A 24,635-nucleotide genomic window follows, 5' to 3' on the forward strand; every position below is an offset into this window, starting at 1 on the left:
AAAGCTTTAGAAGGGCTTCAAACCGAGCTCCGGGAGGCCCTGACATTTTTTATCAGGACATCAGCTAGAAGGGCCTTTTCCTGGAGAACATTACAGTTGGAAATAACTAAATAAGTGAAACTTTCGAAGGGGGATATGGTTAACAAGACACACAGATTGGGAAGAAAAATAAGTAATTTGAGAGGAGGTGGGAGTGTGTGTAGAAGCTTTGTTGCAGCTGGAAGGTGCTAGGATGAGAACTCACGACAAAGAGCTGCGGGTGGGAAGAGCCCAGCCAGGTGCTGTCTGCGATTCAGTATCCTCTGAACATCAGCTCCACACAGCCAGGGGCAAACAGTTTCCTTCACAGTGAGTTTCACTCTAATAACATTTTATTTATTTTACTATTCCCTATTCCACTGCTACTATTTTAATACTCTAACTATATAATATGTAATTTATATGAGACACAATACACTCCAGGTGTACACTGTTACTGTGTATTTTAATCCTATTCTTGTCACTGATTGACTCATGATGACGGAGCATCTCCTCAATAAGCAAACAGGGATTTGGTGCAGCAGCCACAGCCTGTCCTGCATTTGCCCCGGTCGCCACGAGAGCAGCTCTCCTGTGGTTCGCTTCCCGGACTCTGGCCCCAGCATATGTGAGGAAGGGCAGGAGGGTGTTCTTGGAGCCACGTGACATTTCTGCCTCTGACTGTGTATCAGATCTGCTTCCATCTCAGTGGGAAGCAATGGCATCGTGGTCCCTTCTCAAGCCAAGATCCAGAATTTGGAGGTTTTTCCCCTAAAAATATTCTGTGCCAAACAGGGTGCTCTCAAACCATGGAGAGAGGGAAGCGTTTCTAGAACAGTGACCTCTGTGGCAGGTGGACGCCTCGGCCACAGCCACACAGGCAGGTGGTGCAGAAAGTGCAGCTGTGGGTGGCCGTGTGACCACCCAGATGGCCCCCAGCTCCCAGCTCCCAGACCAGGTCCCTCCCACTGGGGTGCATGTCCACCTGCCTCAGGAAACAAAGGTCCCTCTCAAAGCCTGAGGGATGGCAGCTACCCACACAGCTCATTCCTGCAGCCCAGGGAGTCCACCTGCCTCCTGCCCAAGGGATGGATTCTGGAGCCACTGCTATTCGGCAGTGACAATCAAAACACTGTTAGGAGAAGAAGGCCTGAGAAGAGACGTTTTGAAGAGCCACTTCCATAGGTCATCAAACGTCCTATCTCTATTCACTCATCAGCAACACTTACCTCCTGTCCTCAAGCACAGTCCTAACAGGAGGGTCATGACAATGCTAACAGCAGTGGTGAGCTGCTGTAAATGCTTTACTTATCACATGCTGGCATGCTCTTCAGACTTGGCCCACTGCTCAAACAATCTATGACCATCCCATTTTACAGAGGAGAGAATCGAGACGCAGAACAGCTAACTTGCCCCAGACCATACAGTCAGAAAAGGCAGGGCTGAGTTTATACCCAGGCCATCCAGCACCAGCCTCACCCTCCACTCCTCCTCCTGCAGCCTCTCTCCATGCACCCGTGAGTGACAGATGCTACACTCGGGCCCTGCCAGTGCAGTTCGGGCAGAGGCCCCTGTGAATACACATGCCCTACAGGGATGCACATGGTCCGATGATGTGATGCTCTGCAGCATTACAGAGGGAGGTGGAGTCCGCATGGGTATTTAAAGACAGACATTTGTTTGAAGAGGACAAGGAGCAGTGGAAGGGCCAAAGAAGCCTGAGCAGCATGTCTTCAGCTTTGAATTTAGGTCTGGGTGCAACCAAGGGGCAGAGAGGCAGGGAGCTGGAGGGATGGGTAAGAGCTTATTAGGGAAGATCTCAAGTGCCTTACAGAGGAGAATGGATTTAGCTTCTAGGCAATGACAAAGGATTGGAAGCATGTAATCCTGGCAACCACACAGTAGAGTTTGCTTGGTAGAGAGCTCACTGGCAGCAGCCTGGAGGATGCTTGCAGAGGGCAGAGGGCAGTGGGGGGGGGCCAGCGAGGAAGCTGGCAGAGGGGCCTGGGGGAGGAATGAGGGAGTACAGCCTGAGGCAGCAATGGGTTCAGAAGAGAGCACCCACTCAAGAGGAGTAAGAAGGGCTGGGGCTTGGTCACCCATTGGATGGGGCTTGCTGCTTTTGCATTCCAAATTGATAGTTTGGTTGAGTATAGAATACTGAGTGTGCAATCATTTTCCTAAGAGTTTTGAAGGCATTGTTCTATTTGATTCTTGTTTCCAGCATTGCTGTTGAGTACATCTCTTAGCTTCCTTTTCTTTTGTCTCTCACTTTGTCTCTGTTTGTCCCTCTCTTTCTCTGTATCCCCACTCCAGGTTCTCAAAATTTCATGATGATGAACCTCTGTGTGGTTGGCTATGACAGTTTTATATGTCAACATGGAGAGGACACAGCATCCAGTTGTTTAATCAAATACTTATCTAAGTGTTGCTGCGAAGGTATTTTGTAGAGTGACTAACATCTACCATCAGTTGGCTTTTTGTTGTTGTTGTTGTTGTTGTTGAGACAGGGTTTTGCTGTTGTTACCTAGGCTGGAGTTCAGTGGCATGATCATACTCACTGCAGCCTCCAACTCTTGGGCTCAAGCAATTCTCACTCCTCAGCCTCCCAAATAGCTATGACCACAGCCATGTACCACCATGCCTGGTTAATTTTTAAATTTTTTGTAGAGATGATGTCTTGCCATGTTGCCCAGGTTGGTCTTAAACTCTTGGGCTCAAGTGATCCTCCTGCGTCCTCCTCCCTAAATACTGGGATTACAGGTGTGAGCCACCACACTTGGCCTAGCTGACTTTAAGTAAGGAGATTATTCTCAATACTCTCAGTGGGCCGGACTCAAGCAGTCAAAAGACCTTAAGAATATAACTAAGGTTTCCCCGAGGAAGAAGAAATTCTCCCTGTGGAATGGAACTTCTCCTGAACAAGAGTTTCTAGGCTGCCTGTCTGCCCTACAGATTTTGGACTTGTGGAGCCGGTCCCAGATGGTGTCAGCCAGTTCCTTGTGATGAACCCGTCCATATATAAATCCTACTGGTCCTGCTTCTCAGGTAGAGCCCCGGACGACATAGAACCATTTCATGATTGCGTGGCTACTCAACGAGGCCTTTATATCTGAAAACTCAAGATCTCTGCCATGGGGATTTTCCTTGTTTTCTTTCTTTGGGAATTTTCTTTCTTCCATTTGCTCTACTCTCGCTACTTCTTCAGAAACTCCTATTAGTTGATTACTAACTCTCCTGAATTCTTTATTTTTTTTTAACAAAATCTTTTATCTTCTTTTCTCATCTCTTTATAATTTATGGGACATTACCTCAATTTTACATTTTAACTTTCAAAGTAAACTTTTTATTTATTTTTTAAAATAGATATTCGTGTTCTCTGAATGTTTCTTGGGTTATGAATACAATATATTTTAATGTTCTTTCTGTTCTTTTCTGTCTGATGACAAATTATAGGTTTTTAAAAAGATTGCTCCTCTTTCCAGAAATGTTTCTGCTTCCTCTGAGCTTCTTTTGCCCCCTGGTAAGGCTGGTTTGTTTGCTTGGTTTCTGCCATGTTGTTTACTGCTTGCCTTCAGTGGCCGGAGTCCTTGGCTGTTCACGCATACATCCCAGACATTGGTGCCTGGAGGCCCTTTATCTTGAATCTGTTGGTTCTAGAGAAGAGGCCCCTGCTCTGTCTGGAGTGGCGGGGAGTGGAGAAGGCAGAGGAGCAGGAGGAGCCGCTGGATTCCCGGAGCCACACGGGACCAAGGCCTTGGGGCCTGTCCATCTCACTTGACGTTCCCATCTTCAGTACAACGGCTCATCCTGTTTCCAGCTCTTCCTAGCACTAGCTCCAGAGCTTCTGTTCTAGCTTATCCTTCTGCCGGGGAGAAGGAGGCCTGTGGCAGGGCATCCGGGAGTCGAACCCCTCTTAGACAATTCAACTACTCCTCTGTTTTCCGACCAACTCTGAATCCCCACTCTAGGTCCCAGCCTCTTTTCTATGGAGGTTCTGCATGCTCTTCACTCCTCTTTTTCTGGGTTCTTTCTTCACTCTTTCTCTCCACCCCCATCCTCTCCCTCCCCAACAGCTCCTCTGCAGGGAGCTGAGGCCTGAGCCATGTGTGCTTGGGCTGGGCGGCTCCCAGTGCTTTGTGGATGGGATGGTCTGCACTTCCCTTCCTTATTTAGTTATTTAGTTGCATTATATTTGTGGGTTTATAAGAGGAGAGTGGGTCATTTTAGTAGTGTTTTAAGATTTAGTGGAGATATATGTGATTTCAGTCTGCAGAGCTTGGCTAGGATTCCCAATAGAGATGCCTAATAAACCCAGTATTGAGGAACACACGTGCACCTTTCTGCAAGGTGTCTGCCATCTTTGTGTGGGTTGGGTCTGTTTCCTGGAGAGCGCAGGGTGTGTCCACTGTCAGCCCCTCTTCCCCAGGGATGCTCCTGCGTGCTCAGCAGGCACTTGGCTGCCACAGGATGGCGAGGGCTGGCCCTGGGACCACATGGATCTGAGGGTGGAGGCAGAAGTGTGGCCTACAGCCTGTGTCCTTCGAGAGGGTCCCCTTCCTTCCTCCAGGGACAGGATGGCTGTTGTGGTAGCAAACTCACCCTGAGGTGGTCTCCGAGTGTCAGGGGCTGAGGTGCAGGACCCGGATATCTGGGTCCCTGGCAGTCAGAAGCCACCGCCTCATGGCTGCTGCTGTGTCCACGGTGAAACCCTCCTCTCCTGTGAAGGAGCCACTGCCTCACCAGGGCTGCTGTGTCCACAGTGAAACCCTCCTCTCCTGGAGGGTTTCTCTTTCTCAGGAGCAGCTGCTTGCTGCTGAGGACTGAGTGTAATCCTAGCAGAAGGGAAATGTTTAGTTTTGTTTCTCCTTTTGCTTGCCTCTCAGGAGCCTCGGTTGTTAACGTTATCACTGCTGTGGCTTGGCTGTGTCTCCTGAAGGGATATGTTGATGGCCTGGCCCCTACACCTGTGAAAGGGACCTTATTGCACCTCGTTTTCTTTTTAACATGTGAACCATAACTCTTCTGCAAATGTGAGCTTTTGCCCTAAGCTCCTCAAATGGCATCGACACGTGGGAGGAAAAGATCCTCAATGAGGAGACACCTGTCCTGCTGCACAGCCCTGTGGCAGCTTGGCCTCCCCAGGCAGACCCAGCAGGGGCACCCAGCTGGTGGTGCTGGCTGTTATAGTCGTGGTGGTTGTGGTAGTGAGGGCTGTTGCTGCTGTTGTCAGAGCTGTGGCTGTGAGGCTGTTGTTGCTGTGGTTGTGGCTGCAACCTTCATTGTCATAGATATAGCTGTGGCAGCTGTAGTTGTAGCCTTCTCTCCACTTGGGGCACTCAGGTCCACCCTATCTGGCTCAGGGCTTCGGCTCCGGGGTCCTGGAGGAGGGAGCAGGCAGTGGGCTGGAGTGGGTGTGGTTGACGCTGGAGGGCAGCCTCTGAGCAGCTCCCCCAGGACGGAAGCGAAGGCTGCAGGCGGGGCTTGGGTCAGGCTCCTGGGAGAAGCAGTGACGAGGCTGGGTGCCTGCAGGAAGACCCTCAGCTGGCTGCATGTTCAGCCCTGCAGGTGGGTCGTGCTCCTGGGAGGAGCAGCGATGAGGCTGAGTGCCTGTAGGAAGACCCGTGGCTGGCCGCATGTTCAGCCCTGCAGGTGGGTCAGGCTCCTGGCACGAGCAGCGATGAGGCTGGGTCCCTGTAGGAAGATCCGTGGCTGGAGGCGTGTTCAGCCCTGCACTGCCAGTGGTGGCGGCCCTCGTCCCGTGTGGTCAAATTTACATTTATATTTACTGAAATCTAACAATTTTTAAAAGTTCTCTGTCACAGGAGCCAAACTTCAAGAGCTGAGTAGTCTCAGGTGTCCAGTGACCATTACGTGGCACAGTGTTGGCCTGGGCCTCGCCGTCCCTGGCACGACCCATGGGATGAGGCCGCGCCTCCCCCCCCAGCGGGGCCGCCGGGCAGAGGTGATGTGGGATGCTCAGTGACTTTTTAGGGAACGTGCCAAGCCCTCTCCATGGGGGTTGGGGAACGTTTTTAGTTTGGATTCTAAACAGAGAGTGATTCTTGCTATGGAACAAATTTAAATAATAGCTAATAAAGCAGACTAGACTTACTAAACATATTCCTATGCTTAGGAGCCTGCATTAAGCATTTTAGATACATGACCCCAACCAATTCTTCCAACAATCTGTAATGTAGATTCAGTTTGGTATTTTCTCCACGTCTCTCTAGGGTTAGGTAATTTTGTGCCCAGCAGAGCAGGGCGGTGCTCTGTCCTCTGGGAAATACTGCCTTCCTGGAATGTTCCCTCCAACCCAGAGTGCTGAGAAGGCTGGCAGGATAGAGGCCAGAACATGTCTGACGTCAGCGCCAGCCTGGACGGAGAGCTCGGATCCCAGAGAAGGCTGAGCACAGGGAGGAGAGGGGCATGGGCCTCTGCATTTGAGCTGCTCTCGTCCTGAAGTTTGTGCCCTGGGCCCTGTGAGAACTCAGGGGCCAGCCTGTGACACCCCGGCCAGGCCATGCGAGGGTGGCGCCGGGACGCCGCCCTCTGCGGCTCCTTTGGGGAGCACTGACCAGCACTCAGGGATGGATCCGTGCAGCGAGTTGTCGAGAGGAGAGAGTGGAGGAGGACTCCGCAGTATCCCGGCTGATGCATATTGAGTCATCCAGAGGAGAGAGAGGGGGAGGACTCCGCAGTATCCCGGCTGATGCATAATTTGTTCTTCTTATGCATTTTACCACCATTTTGGCTAGCATTTGGTGCTTCAAGGAACAGCTGTTAGAAGCGAAAATCAGAGAAAAAGGCATTTGCGTTTCAAAGGCTTCGCTTTGTGGATGACACATCCCAGAGATAGGAGGAACTCCTGGCAGCAGCCATAGATTTGGAAGGATGCATCCCCATCAGGTAGCGGTGGAGGAATCTCCAGGGAGGAGACAGAGAAGGGAGAGGACAGGAGGGAGAGGAGTAAGGGGTTTGGATGCCTGTGGGTCCTCAGAGAGTGGCCTGAGAGCCAGACTTTCTCCCTTTCCCCTGAGAGCAACATGGAGCTGGGGAAAGAGACCTCAGACACGCCACTCCCCTGCCTTCCTGATGGCGACAGACACAGAGAGGCCTCAGGGCTGGGAGCCGGGAAGGTGGAGGAGCTGCCCATGAGGCTGGTGCTTTGGCAGGGAAAGGGGCCCCCCAGGAGCTGCCACCTGCCCCAAAGGTGCACCTGGGATGAAGATGGGGGGGAGGCACCACAGCGACCTAGTTATGGCGAGCAAGCTCTCACCATACAGTAGAGGAGGAGACAGAAATTAGTTCAGTTACAGAAAACAGATACATTGGTAGAATTTACATGTTATAACATAATTCCATTAAAAAGTTGGCATACTCCTGAAAACCTACTTACTCTTCCCTTAAGAATCAAGTAATATTATGTTTATTAGAAATTATTTGGAGAAATCAAAAGATTGGAATTACAGTCTTAGCTTCACACTAATTATGAGAACGTCAAAGTTTTTTGTTTGTTTAATTGAGATTAATTCACATATGGGAACCCGCTTTTAAAAGATCAGGTTCCCCATCTCTTTATTGGATATAAGAATGATCCTATTTGTTTGTACTGTTAATTTTTTGTTTGTATATTGGTTTTCCCTATAAAATTATAACAGGCTAAGTTTCTTGGGACAGAGACTGTCTTGAAATTTTTATTTCTCTGAAGATCCTAGCGCAGTGGCTGGATAGTCCCCTTCCAGTGGGCAGAATGCTAAGGTGGCCCCAAAGTCTCCCCGTGTGCACCTGCCGTGCGTGGGCCTCTGTCCTTGAGTGTGGATGGTCCTGTGAACACAGTATAGTCATTGCCCCCATGATGGGGTGACATCCTATGAGACCCCAGCCCAGCTGCCAAGCAGTGAGGCCACCGGCTGTGTGGCCAGGACCTGGGGGCCTCATCCGCGGAGGACGACTCTGCCCAACGTCCAGCAGGACAGTCGGGCCTGACAGCTGCAAGCTCAGGAGCTGAGTTCTGCCAGGAACCCGCATGAGCTGTGAGTTGGACTGTGAGCTCCAGGGGGGACGCCACCTGCAGAGGACCCCCTTAGGCCAGCCTGGGCTTCCACCATGGGAAAACTGAGCTAATGACAGGGCCTGGGTTTAAGCTGCTTTGTTTGTGCCACTTTGGAGAACAAACTAGAAGACCGGCACGGTGCTCGGGCATGGGACACAGTTCGGCTTCCTGCGCTGGCGCAGAGGGCCCTGCTGAAGCTCAGTGCTTTCATTCAGCATCTGCTGAATGCTTGCCAGGTCCTGGGGAGGGCTGGGGGGCGGGCGAATGTGGGAGTGCTTCAGGAGGGAATCTTCCTGCAAAAACAAAGCAGGGTCGCGCTCCACCCTGGTCAGCGCTGGGCCAGAACACTGGGTTGTTTCAGGCAGAGGAGGTTGACCAGATGTCACCTCTCCCTGCTGCTATTCACAGGGCCCTTTGGGATTCACAGTTCGAGACAGATGTTGAATCTGACTCTTTCCCTCCCAATTGCTTCCCGTCAAACACTAAAAGATGGAGATTAAAGGAAAAGAAGCAAAGGGTCTGAGGTGCTTTTAGGACGCAGCACCGGGTACCGGGTCAGTGCAGGGCCGGCGTCGGGGAAAGCGGAGGGCTCCCCTTGGAGGGTGTCTGGGCCTGAGGCAGAGCAGGGAGCTGACTCCAAAGGTCAGAGAAGTCAAGTCCCTGAAGGCTTCCTTGTAAAGTGGTTCAGTAAGGCCAGTTTTCCACAGGAGTGGCGTGGGGGCAGGGGGAGCATGGGGTGGGGGTCGGGAATGTAATTCTCAGAAGTGAGGTTCCTCATGAGAGCAGGTGGTGGGGTGGGGTGGGGCTCACTGACTGAGTCCTGCTTTCTCCAGAGCAGATGCAGGAGGAGGCGCATCCTGGCGAGGATCTCACTTTAGCAATCCCCACCCCTGCTGGTGCCCCAGACCCCTCCCCATCCTGCAGGGCTCTGGATGGGTCAACCTGCCTGGCCTCCAGGACTAGAGATCACGGCCTGGACACAGCGCAGCAACATTTCCTCTCTTTTCCCTGAGGTGGTGACCTGGCCAGATGACTGAAGGGCTGATAGTGAGGGGCTGCCAGCCCAGAATGGGGGCATGGGGCTTCGTAGGAGCTGGGGCACGGCAGGGTTCAGCCCTGGATGGAAATGCTCTCTGTCTCCCTCCCTTGTGCTGCATTTACTCCTGGGCTGGGGCCACCCTCCCTTCCACCTCCTGCAGATCACAGAGGGACCCAGAGCTCAGGAGAACTTTCTTCCTGTGTTATAAAACAAGGTATGCCATTGAAACATGCCTGGGTCAAACAGAAAGCTCCCACCGGGCCTGGAGGAGCCCCTGGCAATGTGGTCCTCATTCCCGCCACCCTCTGCCTAGAAGGGGATCTCAGAGAGTTGAGGGGACCTCTCTGGTTGGGAAAAGGGGAGCATCCAGGGAGCGCCAGGAGAGTCCTGGAGGAACATTCTGAGGTGACACGGCCCCAGGGCTCTGTCTACGGCAGGGATCAGCATTGCTGACACACAAAATATTTATTCCCTGATGATGTGGAATTTGGAATCATCATCAGAGACTTCAGTGCAGAGCAACTGGAACCTCCTGAGTGTGCCCTGTCTATATATCTGGTCTCTGGACAGGGTGGCCAGTCCTTGTCCATGACAGGGAGAGCGAGGACCCCTCCCCTCCACACAATTGGCAGACGAGGAACTACCCTCCTGGGGATCCAGAGGCAGGGCGCCCCCCTAGAGAGGACAGCTGGGGAGGGTCCCCTCACTGTACTTCCCCCACACCTCCAGACACCAGCTAGTGATCTGTCCTGAGATCAAAACCAGAATCCTAGTAGATGAGCTGCATGCTTGCTGTGGACGCCCTGCGCCCTGAGAGTCTTGTCCTGGATCGCACGGGTGTGTCCACAAATGAGACCCAGCAGCCCTGGAGCAGCCCCAGCGTCTCTCCCTACTGGCAATGCATCCGGGAGCGTGGCTTGCCCTCCGAGTCAGTTCCCTCATCTCTAAAACAGGACCACACAGATCTCAGGGCGCGTTGGTTGAATGTTTACCTGTGTTGTGTAAAAACTATGGCTACTCAGCACCACAGAGAGGCAAGAGAGCATGCAGGCGTCCTGTTTGGGATCATGGGAGACCATATTCCCAGCTTCCTGGTACTAGGTGACACTGGGGGGCCTGTTTTACTTATGGAATTCCCAGCTTCCCTAATGGTAGGTGACATCTTGGGGCAGGATTTACTTATGGAATTCCCAGCTTCCCAGTGTTAGGTGACACTGTGGGGTGGTTTTTACAGATGGAATGAGAAAGAGGTAAGGTGTGCTCCTCCAGATCCAGACCCTAAACACCTCCCTCTTGGGATCCTCCACGTTCTCTTCCTCTCTCTGTTATGGAATAAAAACAACCGTATGAAAGTGTGTCGAAGGTGCCAGAGCCCTTCTCCCTGTTGCCTGTCCAGCACTGTGATGTGTGTAGACCTCAGCTCTGCTCAAATAGTTTGAAGTGTGTTTGTCATGGCCGTCAGCCTATTCTCGCTAATCTTCCATTAAATGAGATGACTGATTTAAAAAATAGCTCACATAGTAAGTACTCAATATGGTGATTTATTTTTGCAACAATTCCCTTGAGATATATCAAGCAAGACAAACATTCTATAAAAGGTTATGTTCTCATTTATAATGGACTAGAGAGGAACCAAAAAATAAATAGAACAATTCACATGTTCCAGACAGAAAAGGTTTTAAGAGGGCCTAGGGAAGGACTTTAAAAAAATGTATGGTGGACGAGACTCTTAAGATATGAGTTACTTCTAAAAATACTTGTTTTTCAGAGTTAGAACTTTAAGTTTGGAGACTCTTCTTAAATTTCACTGAAGTGGAGTGAGAACTGAAGTGGTGGCAAAAAAGGATGCTCAGGGCACTGCACATGAGAGAGAAGTCTCAACAGCTGCAGAGGAACCTCCACTTCCCTCCCTCTTCTGCCCCATCCTCCCTGCATCTACTGGCTGCCCAGCGCTTGGTGAGGATCTCCCATGAAGATGGCGTTGGGCCTCTCACCTCTGGGGGTGCTGAGGACTGGGCAGAGCACTCCCTGGTTCCTTCTCCCCCAACTTTACCTCCTGACTTCTTTTGCTGGACTAGAATCTCTCACCTTCCAACCTTCCCATACACCTGTGAACTGACCCTCCCATACACCTGTGAACTGACCCTCCCATACACCTGTGAACTGACCCTCCCATACACCTGTGAACTGACCCTCCCATACACCTGTGAACTGACCCTCCCATACACCTGTGAACTGACCCTCCCATACACCTGTGAACTGACCCTCCCATACACCTGTGAACTGACCCTCCCATACACCTGTGAACTGACCCTCCCATACACCTGTGAACTGACCCTCCCATACACCTGTGAACTGACCCTCCCATACACCTGTGAACTGACCCTCCCATGCACCTGTGAACTGACCCTCCCATGCACCTGTGAATTGACCCTCCCATGCACCTGTGAACTGACCCTCCCATACACCTGTGAACTGACCCTCCCATACACCTGTGAACTGACCCTCCCATACACCTGTGAATTGACCCTCCCATACACCTGTGAATTGACCCTCCCATACACCTGTGAATTGACCTTCCCATACACCTGTGAATTGACCCTCCCATACACCTGTGAATTGACCTTCCCATACACCTGTGAATTGACCTTCCCATACACCTGTGAATTGACCCTCCCATACACCTGTGAATTGCACCTGTCTCCTGGCAGGCCCTAGGTTCCTCACATCTGCACCCAGCGAACACATGGCTGCTTCCTGTTTCAACACAGACTTAAATCTCCTCTTATAAAATGTATTGAGTCAATGGTGCAGGAAAACTTTTCTTAGGAGCTGTGTGTGCAGCGCCGAGCGAGGTGCCCCAGATGTGCAGGAAGGAACAAAGGTCCCCACGCACAGACATTGCAATGGAGCATGACAGATGTAGCAGCTACTTAGTATCGGGTAGAAAGAGAAGGGACAGTGTCTGCAGAGAGGAGGCTGGGGCAGTTTCACCAAGATCATCACAGGGATCGGAGTCAGGGAGAGATGAGATAGTGGAAAGGAGTCACTCACGGGGGGTCAGGCAGCCTGGACCTGAGCCCTGGCTCCGTCACTCACAGGACCCCAGGCAGGAAGTTCTCTTCTCTTTGCCTCAATGTCCTGATCTTTAAAACAGGGATAATTACAGAGCCCATTTCTTCAGGCTGCTGTGAGGATTAAGAAGGTTGGTATGCGGAGGTGCTTAGAGCTCTGTCTGGCCCATAATAAGTCCTGAACAGCCTCCACTGACATTGTCTGGAAGATAAGGAGGCATCACATGGCAGATGGGGAGATGGAGGAAAGGGTGTTCTCGGCACCCCGAAGGGCTCACAGGGAGATGGAGGAAAGGGTGTTCTCGGCACCCGGAAGGGCTCACAGGGAGATGGGGGAAAGGGTATTCTCGGCACCTGGAAGGGCTCACAGGGAGATGTGGGAAAGGGTGCTCTTGGCACCCCAAAGGGCTCACAGGTGTGAAACACCATGGGGATGAGGCAGCTTGGGATGGCTAGGAGGAGATGCTCCCAGAGACAGGAGGAAGGCCAGGCCTGGGGAACTGTGGAGGGTGGCAGGAGTCCTTCCCTCAGGAGCCTCTTCCCTGGGCCTAGGGGAACTGTGGAGTGTGCCTTCTCGCTCTGTCCTCGCCTGCTGGCTGGCTGCGGCCTCCCTCACAGGATCCTCCAAATTCCACAGCCCCTTGGTGGCTGGTGGCCTGGAGCTGCTCCCTCTGCACCTCCCGCATGCACCTGCATGTCAATGGGGCTGGAGTAAGGCTCCCACGCTGCTGTCTTCCCCACATCCTGACAGCTGAGTGTTGGGGACAAAAGTGTGCCCTTCCCTCCAGTGGCCAACACGTGGTCTCCAATTCCCTGTGTGTCCTTGGCATGGCCGTGATTCCCTTGGAATCCCCTCTCCTGAAGGTGTCCCAGACACCACCACACCCTGCAACCCCACTCGGGTGCCCGACGCGTGTGTGAATGACTCCCATGAAGTCCTTGTCCAGATGGAGCAGATGGAGCTCTGCTCCGAGGACCCCTGGCTCCCCCCAGATGGAGCTCTGCTCTGAGGACCCCCAGCTCCCCAGTGCAGTTACAGCCACATTTGTCCAGCTTGTCTGTGGCTTCCTGACCTCCACCAAGATCTGTCTCCACCTGGTACTCCTGCTGCCTTCTGTATCTTTAAACCATTTCTTCCTCCTGGTTTCTCCTCTTCAGATAAATTCCAGACCCACATTTCTCTCTGCCTGTGAGGTCCTGCCCACTTCTGCGCCTTTCCAGCTACTGCCAACGTCGTTCCTCCCCTCTCGTCTGGTCTGCATTTCTAGAACCATTAGTCATGTCCTCTACAACCCCCTGAACTTTCCATCTGACTCTCGTCCTATCTCAGTCTGGTTTTGGTGCCTGATCTTTTCCCTAAACTCTCCACAAAGTGCCTCAGTTGTATTCCCACGGCCAATGCCCCAAATGAGCCCAGCATCGTTTTGAACTCTCCGCCACACCGGCCTCTCGCCACTTTCCCAGTATTGTGTGTGTTCTTTTCTCTGGAAGCTTCTGCACATCATGGCGCCTGGCTCCCCTAATGCCACCATGCAACTCTGTCTTCATCACGGCCTCTCCGCCTCCACCTGTCACAAAACGTGTGTGTCTCCCAGGGGTGTCTTTGCTGATGCTCTTCCCCCTGGACCCCTGAGTCCCGGGGTGAACCTGCAGGGTCAAGTGTGACCTGAGTGCTGCTGATTTCCGATTCCTACGCGGCTCTCCTCAGACACTTCCCGAGGCCCGTTACCAGCTGCTTGGTGGATATTCCCCCTTCAAAGTCCCACAGAATCTCAAGTTCACGTATTTAAAATGAAATAACCATCTTTCCCCACTTTTATGGTGTGAGTATTTGTGTCCCTCGAGGTTCCTGTGTTGAAGCCCTAACCCCTGGGTGTGTTTGGAGCTGGGGCCTCTAAGGGAATAATTCATGTAAATGGGCTTGTAAGGGTGGGGTCCTGATCTGATGGGATCAGAGTCCTTATGAGAGGAGATGCCAGCGAGCCTGCTCTCTCCCTGCCTTGTGAGGACACAGTGAGAAGGCCCCTGTCTGCCAACCAGGAAGAGAGGCCTCCCCAGAAACCAGATCAGCTGGAACCTGATCTCAGACTTCCAGCCCAGGGACAGGGGATAGAGGTCAGTTGCTCAAGCCACCTGGCCTAGGGTATTCTGTTGTGACGGCTGAGCAGACTAAGATACCCATGGCGTTCAAGGCTTCATTCTTTCCTTGTGTTCCCAACTGCCAGCATTGCCACCCGTGCAGCTGCTGGGGCTGGGGCCACCTCTCCTGCCGGGATTCACCCACAAGGCCCTGCTCATTCTGTTTCCTAAACAGTCCTCTAATCTGTCCTTCCTTTCATGTTGGAGGTCTAGCCCTCATCATGCCTCGCTTAGGTCTGCAGGAACGGCTCAACGTGTCTGCCTGCCCGTCCATTCCAGCTCTCCTCCGCGGCCACCAAGGTGGTGCATTCAAAGCCCGGACTCCAAGAGTCACTTAAAGCCCTCAATGTAACCTTCCTCCCTGTGGTGAGCTGTGCCTTTTTTCAAAATTCAGCTCCTGTCTTGGCTCCTGAAGGGCCCTGGCCTGTTCACCCCATCTGGACTAGACATTTCTCCTCTGTGTTGCTGATCGCTGGCCTGGCACCATGTTGCAGCATCTGTAATCTCCTTCACCCCAGTCCACAGCATTCTCTAAAAGATGGTCTCTTCTCTCCTCTAAAGAGCAGGCCACGGTACTCAACTTTGTAAACCAGACCTGGACGGAGATCATCGGTGCTGGTGGAGGCATGTCTGTCTGTGTCGGCCGAATGAGATGAATGAATGACACGTCTGTCGGCGGCTTAGGGGGAGGGTGAGCTGCAGGTTGAGCTCTCCTCGGGCACAGACCCCAAGGGTCTCAAGTTCCTAGGAAGCCTCCTCAGATTTCTCTGAGTGTAAAGCCAGTGTCCCCCACAGTGTGTGCCAGTGGCATTGCATCTGTCCCGTGGTTGGCCTTGCCCCAGTGCCCGCATCCGAGGCTCTTATGTGAGTCTGTTCCCTCACTGTGAGGTTCTGGGCTCGGGGAGTGAGTGTTAGGTCTTACTCACCATCACCACCCTAGGCTCTGCTGCGTCTGCTATGTGGCTTGGCCTTAGCACCTGTCCAGAACGCTTGCTGGGGGTCTGCATGGGCCTCATGGTCCCTGGTCATGGCCTGGTACTGTCCTCAGTCTGTGTTCACCGGGACTGAGGACACCTTCCTGTCCTGAGCTGTCCGCTCTGCTGCTTCCTCATGTATACAATCAACATTTTCTACCTGACTTCTGTCGTTGTAGAATTCTCCCTGACTCCTCCGTCCTGGGCTTCTCCATGTGCCTCCAGTTCTCCCCCTCCTTTCTGGGAGGGATTGGCCTTTACACCTGACCTGAGGGTCTCATGATAGCTGCTTTTACAATCACAACATGGCATCTTCCCCAAAGGTCATGGCACCACGTATGTGTGTGCCCAGGAGCCGGGATGGGGCCTTGACTTTTCATCTTAGACACTGCTTTTCTAGAAAGACCTTGCCAACCCTAAAGATAAAATGTTTTCTATTTCTCTTACATCAGTTCTGCTTTTTTCAGACACGACTCAGCTCAGGGAGCAGGATCGGGGAAAGGAGCCCTCCTGCCTAACCCTCAACGCAGAAAGAGCAGCGGCTGCGCCAGGACTCCCCATGAAGTGAAGTGGAAACGATTTCACAGCAAATGGGGTGGATGGCCAGGGGCTCCTGTCAGGTCTGAGACCCGGGGCCGGGAGTGGGCTGGGCATGTGAGCAGGGCCCCAAACCATGGGCATTGGTTCCTGCTTCCTCTACTGTTTCTATTTTGGCACCTGCTTGAAAGCAGTTCTTCATCATCTGGCTAGATTGTCACAGTTTGGGGTAAAAGAGAAATAAAACAGGCAACTTCTATTTCAATCTGTTCTTGCTGCTGCTTCTAACCGCTGCTTTGTTTGCGCAGTGGGTGGGATGCACAGGGGCCCTCCAAACTCCAATCTTGACGTGCCCGCGGGGGCTTTGTGGGAGGCTCCTGCTAACCAGGTTTGGGAAAACCACCAGGCAGTCCTGGCAGTCTGGGCAAGGCCAGGGCTTCCAAGGAAAGAGAAATGTCTAAGACTTCCTAATGAGTGTATTTCTGTGCGCTTAGCTGTGTTCTTGCTGGGTATTCATATTATTACACTTTCAGAAAATAATATTCTGCCTATCTATTAAAATTGATGAAGGCTTGCTCAACAGAGAAAAACCATAGTCAACACATGATGGAATATTATTCAGTCTCAAAAGGGAAGGAAGCTTGGATACGTGCTACAACCTTGAGGACATGGGGCTCCATGAAATAGGACGGTCACAAAAAAGCAAACCCCATGGGATTCTACTTATAGGAGGTCCCTAGAAGCATCAGATTCACAGAGGCAGAAAGCACAGTGTGGGTGCCAGGGGCTAGGCAGCTGAGGAAGGGCGAGTCAGTGTTGAATGGAGACAGTGTTTCAATGGAGACGGAAGAATTGGAGAGATCAGTTCCACAACAGTGTGAATACAGGTACTCCTCCACATACCACGGGGATGGATACAGGTACTCCTCCACATACCACGGGGATGGATACAGGTACTCCTCCACATACCACGGAGATGGATACAGGTACTCCTCCACATACCATGGGGATGGATACAGGTACTTCTCCACATACCACGGGGATGGATACAGGTACTCCTCCACATAACACGGGGATGGATACAGGTACTCCTCCACATACCACGGGGATGGATACAGGTACTCCTCCACATACCACGGGGATGGATACAGGTGCTCCTCCACATACCACGGGGATGGATACAGGTGCTCCTCCATATACCACGGGGATGGATACAGGTGCTCCTCCACATACCATGGGGATGGATACAGGTACTCCTCCACATACCATGGGGTCAGCATCCCCATAAAGCCATCTTAAGTTGAAAATACCATATCTTGAAAATATTTTAAGTCAAAAATTCATTTAATACTTGTACTGACTCAATATCATAGCTTAGCCTAGCCCACCTTCAATGCACTCAGAACACTTACATCAGCCTACAGCTGGGCAGAGTCAACTTACACAAGGCCTAGTTACACAAAAGTGTTGAATATCTCATGTAATTTATTGAATACTCTATGAAAGTGAAAAAGAATGGTTGCATGGATACTCAAAGCACCATTTCTACCAAGTGTGTATTGCTCTTGCACCACTGTAAGATCGAAAAATTGTAAGTTGAGGACCATCTGTATACCTAACACTACTGAACCATACACCTGAAGATGGGTGAGATGGTAAATTCCATGCCATATGTTAATATTTTACCACAACTACAAAAACAAACAGAACAGAACAGAACCCAGGTCCGGTGTGCTCAGGCCTGGACTGCCCCTTTCCCCTTATGCCACTACTCCGGGTTTTCCTTTGCTGCACAAACAGGGCTGCTGGTCACCGGGCAAACACGCCCAGAGCCCTGTGACACACAGGGAGGTCCCCTTTCCTCCTTGGAGGTCGCCGAAGCCAGCAGTTCAGAGAGTTCTGATGGTGCCTTTTAGTAAAACGGAGGAATATCAACATTTCCGTGTAGCTCAGCCAGCCCATGGCAGGGCTCCAGCAGGAGCCGCCCCTGGCATGCTGACATTTCAATCTCTGCATACACGTGAATACTGATACCCGGGGCTGGAGCCTGGGGCCTTTCCCATCAAGCTGTGGCCCTGCAGGCTAGGTGGAGCACAGGCAGCTGGAGTCATTTCCATCATGCCTGGACTTCTGTGGGCCCTCCAGGGACCTGGGATCCTGAAAGAGGAGGCTGCTGAGCCCTGGGGCAAGGGTGGGTGGCAACCAGGTGGGAGGGAAGTGAGAGGCATACAGCTTTCCAGAGAAGGGAGCTTCTAGCATTGCAAATTCTCCGAGTAACATGGGCCTGTAAGCTGTGATTTTACTCACTGACGTGGCCTGTGGCCCAAGATTCCAACAGCCTGCACCCAGTATTCTTGCACCCCAATATTCATCAGCCTGTACCCCAAGATTCCATCAGCCTGCCCCCAATACTCCATCAGCCTGCCCCCCCAAGATTCCATCAACGTGCACTCCAAGATTCCATCAATGTGCACCCCAAGATTCCATCAATCTGCCAAGAGTCCATCAGCCTGAACCCCAAGATTCCATCAACCTGCCCCCAAGATTCCATCAGCCTGCACTCCAACATTCCATCAGCCTGTGCCCCCAAATTCGACCAGCCTGCACCCCAAAATTCCATCAGCCTGCACCCAATATTCCATCAGCCTGCGCTCCAATATTCCATCAGCCTGTGCCCCAAAATTCTATCAGCCCGCCCCCAATATTCCATCAGCCTGTACCCCAAGATCCCATCAGCTTGCATCACAAAATTCCATCAGCCTGGCCCCAATATTTCATCAGCCTGTACCCCAAGATTCCATCAGCCTGCACCCCAAGATCCCATCAGCCTGCATCCCAAAATTCCATCAGCCTGCATCCCAAAATTCCATCAGCCTGTACCCCAAGATTCCATCAGCCTGCACCCCAAGATCCCATCAGCCTGCACCCCAATATTCCATCAGCCTGTGCCCCCAAGTTTCCATCAGCTTGTCAAGGCCAGAGCATGCATTTCAATATACTCTCCACTCTGTGCCAGGGACCCTGGGGAAGAGGCTCCCTTTTGGAGAAAAGAAACAGGGAAGGGTGGAAATTGAGGTGAGGCTGGCAAGAGAGTAGACAGAGGTGTGTGGGTGAGGGTCTAGCAGCAGAAATTTGTGCCTGGCATTTGGGAAGGGGCGTCATGGGGCGGGGTCCTGCTTCCCACCTCAGTGGCTCCTAAGCTCTAAGCCCTCCCCCATGGAAAAAGGGGCAGGACAGAGATCTTGGTGGAGGGCTGTCCTCTGACCCTAACATACAATGCAACCAGAGGCTGGGGAGTGGGAGGGAACAGCATTCATCTGGCACCTGGTATTTGCTGCTTAAATCAAAGGGGCAAACTCTCAGCAGGAGGAAAGCTAAAGCACCAGGCTCCGCAGAGGCAGCTCTGAACCAGTGCCGTCCCTGGAGTGCAGAAATGCTCACGTGAGAGGACGAAATTGTTTTCGTTTGTGTCAGGTTAGCGAAACATACAAACCCTTACTCATAGGTCAAATGGGCAGGGTTTTTACAAAATTTTTAAACATTTTATTAATGGTGAAAGGTTTGGGAAAGTAGACACTTTTTTGGAGGGCATTTTGGCATGATCTGTCAAAATTTTAAAGCTAGCATTCTTGTTTCCAGGAATAGAGCCTGAAGATCTGCTTGCACAAGGACATGGAGTTGTGTGCACAAGGACGTTCACGCGGAGTTCTTTGTAACAATCAAACCTGGACAGGACACCAGGTGGCACGTGCAGGAACAGGCTCAATGGGGAGGGTGAGGCGGCTCTGTGACACCCTGGGCTTCTGTGCACCTAACAAGGAACGCCCTGTCTGCTGGGCCCTGGGTGATCCTGGTGAGCAGCTGAGGCCCCTGTCCTCATGCTGGGTTCTGGGAGACACTGAGATCCATGTGTATAAATAGGGGTGCTTTTCAGTTCCAGAGAAGACGGGAACTGCCTGCCTTTGAGAAGGGATTAGGTCGGGGAAAGGACATTCAATTTCTCTCTCTCTTTTTTTTTTTTGTCTTTTGTTTGTTTGTTTGTTTTTAATGAGACAGAGTGTTGCTCTGTCACCCAGGCTGGAGTGCAGTGGTGCAATCTTGGCTCACTGCAACCTCCGCCCCCTGGGTTCAAGTGATTATCCTGCCTCAGCCTCCCGAGTAGCTGGGATTACAGGCGCGTGCACCACCACGCCCAGCTAATTTTTGTATTTTTAGCAGAGATGGGGTTTCACCATGTTGGCCAGGCTGGTCTCAAACTCCTGACCTCAGGTGATCTGCCCACCTCGGCCTCTCAAAGTGCTGGGATTACAGGTGTGAGCCACTGTGCCCGGCCAATTTTTCTCTTTAAACCCATTTACATTGTTTGAATTTTCTACCTGAGCAGGAATTTCTTTAATAATTAAAAAAAATCTTCCTTAACATTTAAGGGTCAGAGTCACCTATTACTGAACATGCCATTATTCCTGTAATCTGCATACCCCTTTGTTCATTCTGTGTTTGAGATGGATTTGAGGCGCAGGTGTGATTTTCGTAGAAAGTGGCATATAGGGCAGCAGAAAGGAAACCATTGTAAATCTCCCCAAAGGGTATGGCCTTCACATCGTACATGTGATGTGTGTATCTTCCCCTCCACCTCCTCAAGGAAGCTGAGGGACGCTGAGTGTAATGGGTGCCGTCAGCCTTGGAGACGGGTCCCATCCCAGGTCTTCACTCCCCGCAGAGGGACCGACTGCACAATCTGACTGCACAGAACGGGCCTCTCCTAAGATAATCTAACTGCATGTATTTCTTTTTAAATGAAGCAAACAAAAATGAATGAGGTTGATGGGGTTTTTTGGGAATGTTCTCATGCATCTTTGGTGCAGGCATTCACCAGGAGCCACCGTGCCAAATGCCATCCTCTTTCCCCCAATGACGCCTGCCTGTGAATTTCGGGTGAAATAAGTAACTACATCTAAAGACCCTCATGTGCATGTCTTAAATGAAAATCTATATCTTACTGTGGATTCTAGTTTCAAAAACGGAAAACTGCTGTGGTCATCTATAGATGGGGCTGAGGGAGGCTGGGCTCCCTAATGTAAGTTTAAGATGTTTCAACACTGTCCCCAAACCCTTGAATTTTGTTAGGTTGGTACGATAGTTTTCAGCCTTTTCTTTCTAAACACAGGTGACGGGAGAAGCTGGCACCTGCTGCCGTCATAACCAGCCGTGCCAGTCGGCTCTCGGCGGCACCATCCCAGCCAGGGTCCCGCAGACGCGGCCACTCACCTGCGGTGTGTGAGGAAGCTGCCGCTGACGTGGCCTGAGCCGTCGCATCCTGGCGTGGGGCAGGACATGCCTTCCGTCTTGACCGACTTCCAGGAGAACTGGGAGCCATTCAGGTACCCGTCTTTCTGCCTCTTGGCCGCCAAGGGGCACCCGGAGGCGCTGCGATGGGACGCGTACTTCCCAGTGATGTGGCCCTGGCCGTCGCACCCGGGGACCGGACACCTGTAGGCAGGCAGAGGTGACACACTTTATTGTCTGGCCACCGTCGCCTGGTGGCTTCTGTAACAAAGTCAGAATAACCCGGCATGAAGAAGAAAAAAACAACCATGCCCTCCTGGCTGGGCAAAAGGAAAAGAAAAAAGAGAAAGAAAGAAAAGTCACTAAAAGACACCACCTAGTGGAACACTGAACTGTTTCCCCTGCGCAGAAGGCCTGACCCATTGCAGATGGAAGGATTTTCTGGAACAAAGTGTATGTGCCTGGTGGGACTGATGGGTTCAGCACACAAAAGACCACGCAGGCACATGCAGCTACACAAGCGTGTGTTTAAAAGATACCACTTTGGGACAGAACCATGGCTTTTCAGGTGGAAAAAATGCAACGTCAATAAGATGTCGTGGCATTATTTTTAAAGAGGCTGTTTCGTGCTTTTCTCAAGAGCTAGAAGACATTTATTTGTCTGGCCGTATCTTCTGGAGGCCTTAAAATGCCCTTCCAGCTAGAGAAGATCCTAAGCTGCAGAGACGTCTCATGAAGTCTCCTGGAATCGGGCTGACACAGGGACACGGGACAGGTGTGTTCCTGGGAACTTGTGAATGGCAGGACCAAGACACACACCAGGGCAGCAAAGGCGCCTGAAGGAGGCAGGGCCTGGCCTAAGCGCTCCTCATGTGTCCTGAGCAGTGAGTTTGCCTGCATTGTTTTTATTAACAGAAAAGTTTGCATTCCTCAGAATTTGCATTACCTATTTATTTTGACAAATCTTAATTTATTTGAATAATTTATGCTTTAATTCATTTTTATTTTGTTTTAATTAAAACTTTTTTCTGGGGATGTGAAGTGAGGCTTACTGTGTGGGTTTTTGGGGCCCAGGCATGGCTGGCGTGGGATGGGGACAAACACCCCCTTGGGCAGCCCAGCGGTAGTCACAGGCTCCAAGCTCAGTGTCCACTGCAGCCCCAAGCCCTGCCTTAGAGCAAGGCAGGGTATAACTAAACTATTTTTATAAGCCAGAATACCAGTGAAACATCCGCTTGTGATGTTGTATTTAGTACCTTCAGGAGCATTCACCAATCTGCCATTCCCAAGAATTCAGCTGCTTTTCCCACCAAGAGGAGAGGGAAGGCTTGTTTTTGGGGATTTGGGTTACATGGAACCTCAGATTGATGGATATCAGCTTATTGCTGGACAGCCCATGTAACTTTTCAGCCAATCAGCAGATGTGCTTTGGTTTGGGTCTAAGTTATCTGACCTTGCATTTGTGGAAATCTCAAAGAATGGCCACTAAGACCCGCTGTCTCTTTTTCTTGTTGACATATACTTGCTTTGCTTGAATGCCTCGTCCCCACATGGCAGCCCTGCTATGGTTCTCAGCCCCACTGGTGCTCATACCTGATGGGTTCTTGATCTTCTTTATCTTCTTTGCTCTGTGCTATCCTGATACCACTTTTCTTTGCTCTTGGGCAACCTGAAAGGCTAAATAAGAAACACATTTCAGAAAGCACCCCACACCGTTGATTTCAGTGAGCTTTCTTTCTTTTTTTTTTTTTTTTTGAGACAGAGTCTCACTCTGTCACCCAGGCTGAAGTGCAGTGGTGTGATCTCGGCTCACTGCAAGCTCCGCCTCCCGGGTTCACGCCATTCTCCTGCCTCAGCCTCCCAAGTAGCTGGGACTACAGGCGGCCACCACCACGCCTGGCTAATTTTTTTGTATTTTTTAGTAGAGACGGGGTTTCACCGTGTTAGCCAGGATGGTCTCGATCTCCTGACCTCGTGATTTGCCCACCTCGGCCTCTTTTTTTTTTTTTTTTTTTGAGACAGAGTCTTGCTCTGTCGCCCAGGCTGGAGTGCAGTGGTGCGATCTCAGCTCACTGCAAGCTCCACCTCCTGGGTTCACACCATTCTCCTGCCTCAGCCTCCCAAGTAGCTGGGACTATAGGCGCCCGCCACCACGCCCGGCTAATTTTTTGTATTTTTTAGTAGAGACGGGGTTTCATCGTGTTAGCCAGGATGGTCTCGATCTCCTGACCTCGTAATCCGCCCCAGTGAGCTTTCTTAACCGACGAGGCTGTGACTTGATTCTCTCCAAAACCTGTGCTTCTGGGCACAAAGTCAAAATTCAGGAGGAGAGTTCTTTCCCTGTGTCCTCTCCAAGGCTCTAGGCACCGTCAGTCCCCTTTCAAGAAAGTTGGGAGACTGGGGTGGGCTAGGATGCTGTGAACGGGAGAGAAACTGGTCCACCGGGAGGGAGCAGAAGCAGTCGGGAGTCACCAGGAAAGACGCTGGGGGAGGTTTTGTTGACAGAGAGCGCGGGAGCGAGCGCACACGGATGCGTGCATGTCGGGGGTGAACATGGCAGAAAAAAGCAGCCTCCCAGCCCCATTCTTGGGTACTCTGTCTCTCACAGCAGCTTCCCAAGCACTTCCATCTCAGGTTCGTGTCTTGGGAGACAGTGATGGGCTAGTGACTTATTCCAGGCTTCGGGTTGTGCCTGCAGACGGGAGAGTGGGAGCTGGACACGCCTATTTTATTTAATTTTCAACCTCTTGGGTACAGAGGCTTTGGACATGTTTGTAAAGGGAATTTTTTCAGCTGGAACAGAAACATACACACACATACACATCACATAAAATAATACATAAAACAAATGGGATTTTTGGAAAAGAATTGAAGAACCAGAAATTGGGCAATCTCCTGCCATGCTATTGGGTCTTGTGGAAATCGCGGGCCCGGCGCTGGCACACGGGTGGGTCCAGGTGGGAGGCCACTCTTCTCCCTGGCTTTCCTGAGCTCGGGGATAGTTTTCTTGGTCAGTTCTGATTCTTGGAAACACGCAGATTCCCAGGAGGAAGTGCTCACTCCCCTAAAGGGAGGCTCCATCCTGCCTCCCAGGCCTTGGCCATCCTCCTCCCTGTTCAGGTGGGGGCAGCACCTCAGCACAGGCGGGTGTGGGAAGGTTCGGGAAGGTTCGGGTTTCGTGTCTGGGCAGAAAGGAGGTTGTCAGGGCCCCACAGCGCCTTCACTCCCAGGCCCCTGCTGCCCCACCTCCTGGAGCCAGCGGGGAATCCTCCTGCTCCTTCCCCTGTCTCGCTCTTCACAGGAAGAGGAAAGAGGCGGCGAGGCGAGGGCACCTGAGCTCGCTGCCTGCTGGGGCCTTTCTTCTCCCCGCCCTCTTAAAGGAGGGAATCTGGAAAGAGGGGCCCGCCTGTGCTTCCCCCGACCTTTCCTTCCTCCCTTGGCCTCCTCCGCCCCCGCCCCACCCTCTGGCTCCTGACCTGCCTGCAGGTCGCTGGGGCTCTGAGGCCGGCGTG

The 24,635-nt window shown here is 51.8% G+C and overlaps 1 protein-coding gene and 1 long non-coding RNA gene across 30 annotated transcripts in view, besides 3 other annotated features; one reads left to right on the top strand and one right to left on the bottom strand.

The window, feature by feature from the left end:
* MYT1L (myelin transcription factor 1 like) overlaps positions 1-24,635 on the bottom strand; it is a 542,163-nt gene that overhangs the window by 28,931 nt on the left and 488,597 nt on the right. For 28 of the 29 annotated variants that reach the window (NM_015025.4, NM_001303052.2, XM_011510326.2 and 25 more), the window contains 2 exons: positions 22,717-22,800; positions 21,106-21,327 (listed from right to left, as the gene is read on the bottom strand). In NM_015025.4, the coding sequence (NP_055840.2) occupies positions 21,106-21,327; positions 22,717-22,800 (306 nt within the window). Of the gene's footprint in view, positions 1-10,634; positions 17,153-21,105; positions 21,328-22,716; positions 22,801-24,635 lie in introns of those variants that run through there. The other variant, XM_017003608.2, reaches the window with a different exon arrangement.
* Positions 5,502-16,102, top strand: LOC124905967 (uncharacterized). Its single transcript, XR_007086192.1, has 4 exons — positions 5,502-5,586; positions 6,252-6,927; positions 10,882-11,069; positions 15,768-16,102. It is a non-coding gene; the product is annotated as an uncharacterized LOC124905967 (long non-coding RNA).
* Positions 8,050-8,607: an enhancer, noted in NCBI's record as "H3K4me1 hESC enhancer chr2:1829865-1830422 (GRCh37/hg19 assembly coordinates)". NCBI's record gives its function as "activates a minimal SCP1, AML or CMV promoter by ChIP-STARR-seq in primed H9 embryonic stem cells {active_cell/tissue: H9 hESC(primed)}" and the evidence as "EXISTENCE:reporter gene assay evidence [ECO:0000049][PMID:30033119]".
* Positions 20,652-21,153: an enhancer, noted in NCBI's record as "H3K4me1 hESC enhancer chr2:1842467-1842968 (GRCh37/hg19 assembly coordinates)". NCBI's record gives its function as "activates a minimal SCP1, AML or CMV promoter by ChIP-STARR-seq in primed H9 embryonic stem cells {active_cell/tissue: H9 hESC(primed)}" and the evidence as "EXISTENCE:reporter gene assay evidence [ECO:0000049][PMID:30033119]".
* Positions 23,755-24,409: an enhancer, noted in NCBI's record as "H3K4me1 hESC enhancer chr2:1845570-1846224 (GRCh37/hg19 assembly coordinates)". NCBI's record gives its function as "activates a minimal SCP1, AML or CMV promoter by ChIP-STARR-seq in primed H9 embryonic stem cells {active_cell/tissue: H9 hESC(primed)}" and the evidence as "EXISTENCE:reporter gene assay evidence [ECO:0000049][PMID:30033119]".

The sequence above is a fragment of the Homo sapiens genome, chromosome 2 (genome assembly GCF_000001405.40).
Source record: "Homo sapiens chromosome 2, GRCh38.p14 Primary Assembly".
NCBI lineage: Eukaryota > Metazoa > Chordata > Mammalia > Primates > Hominidae > Homo > Homo sapiens.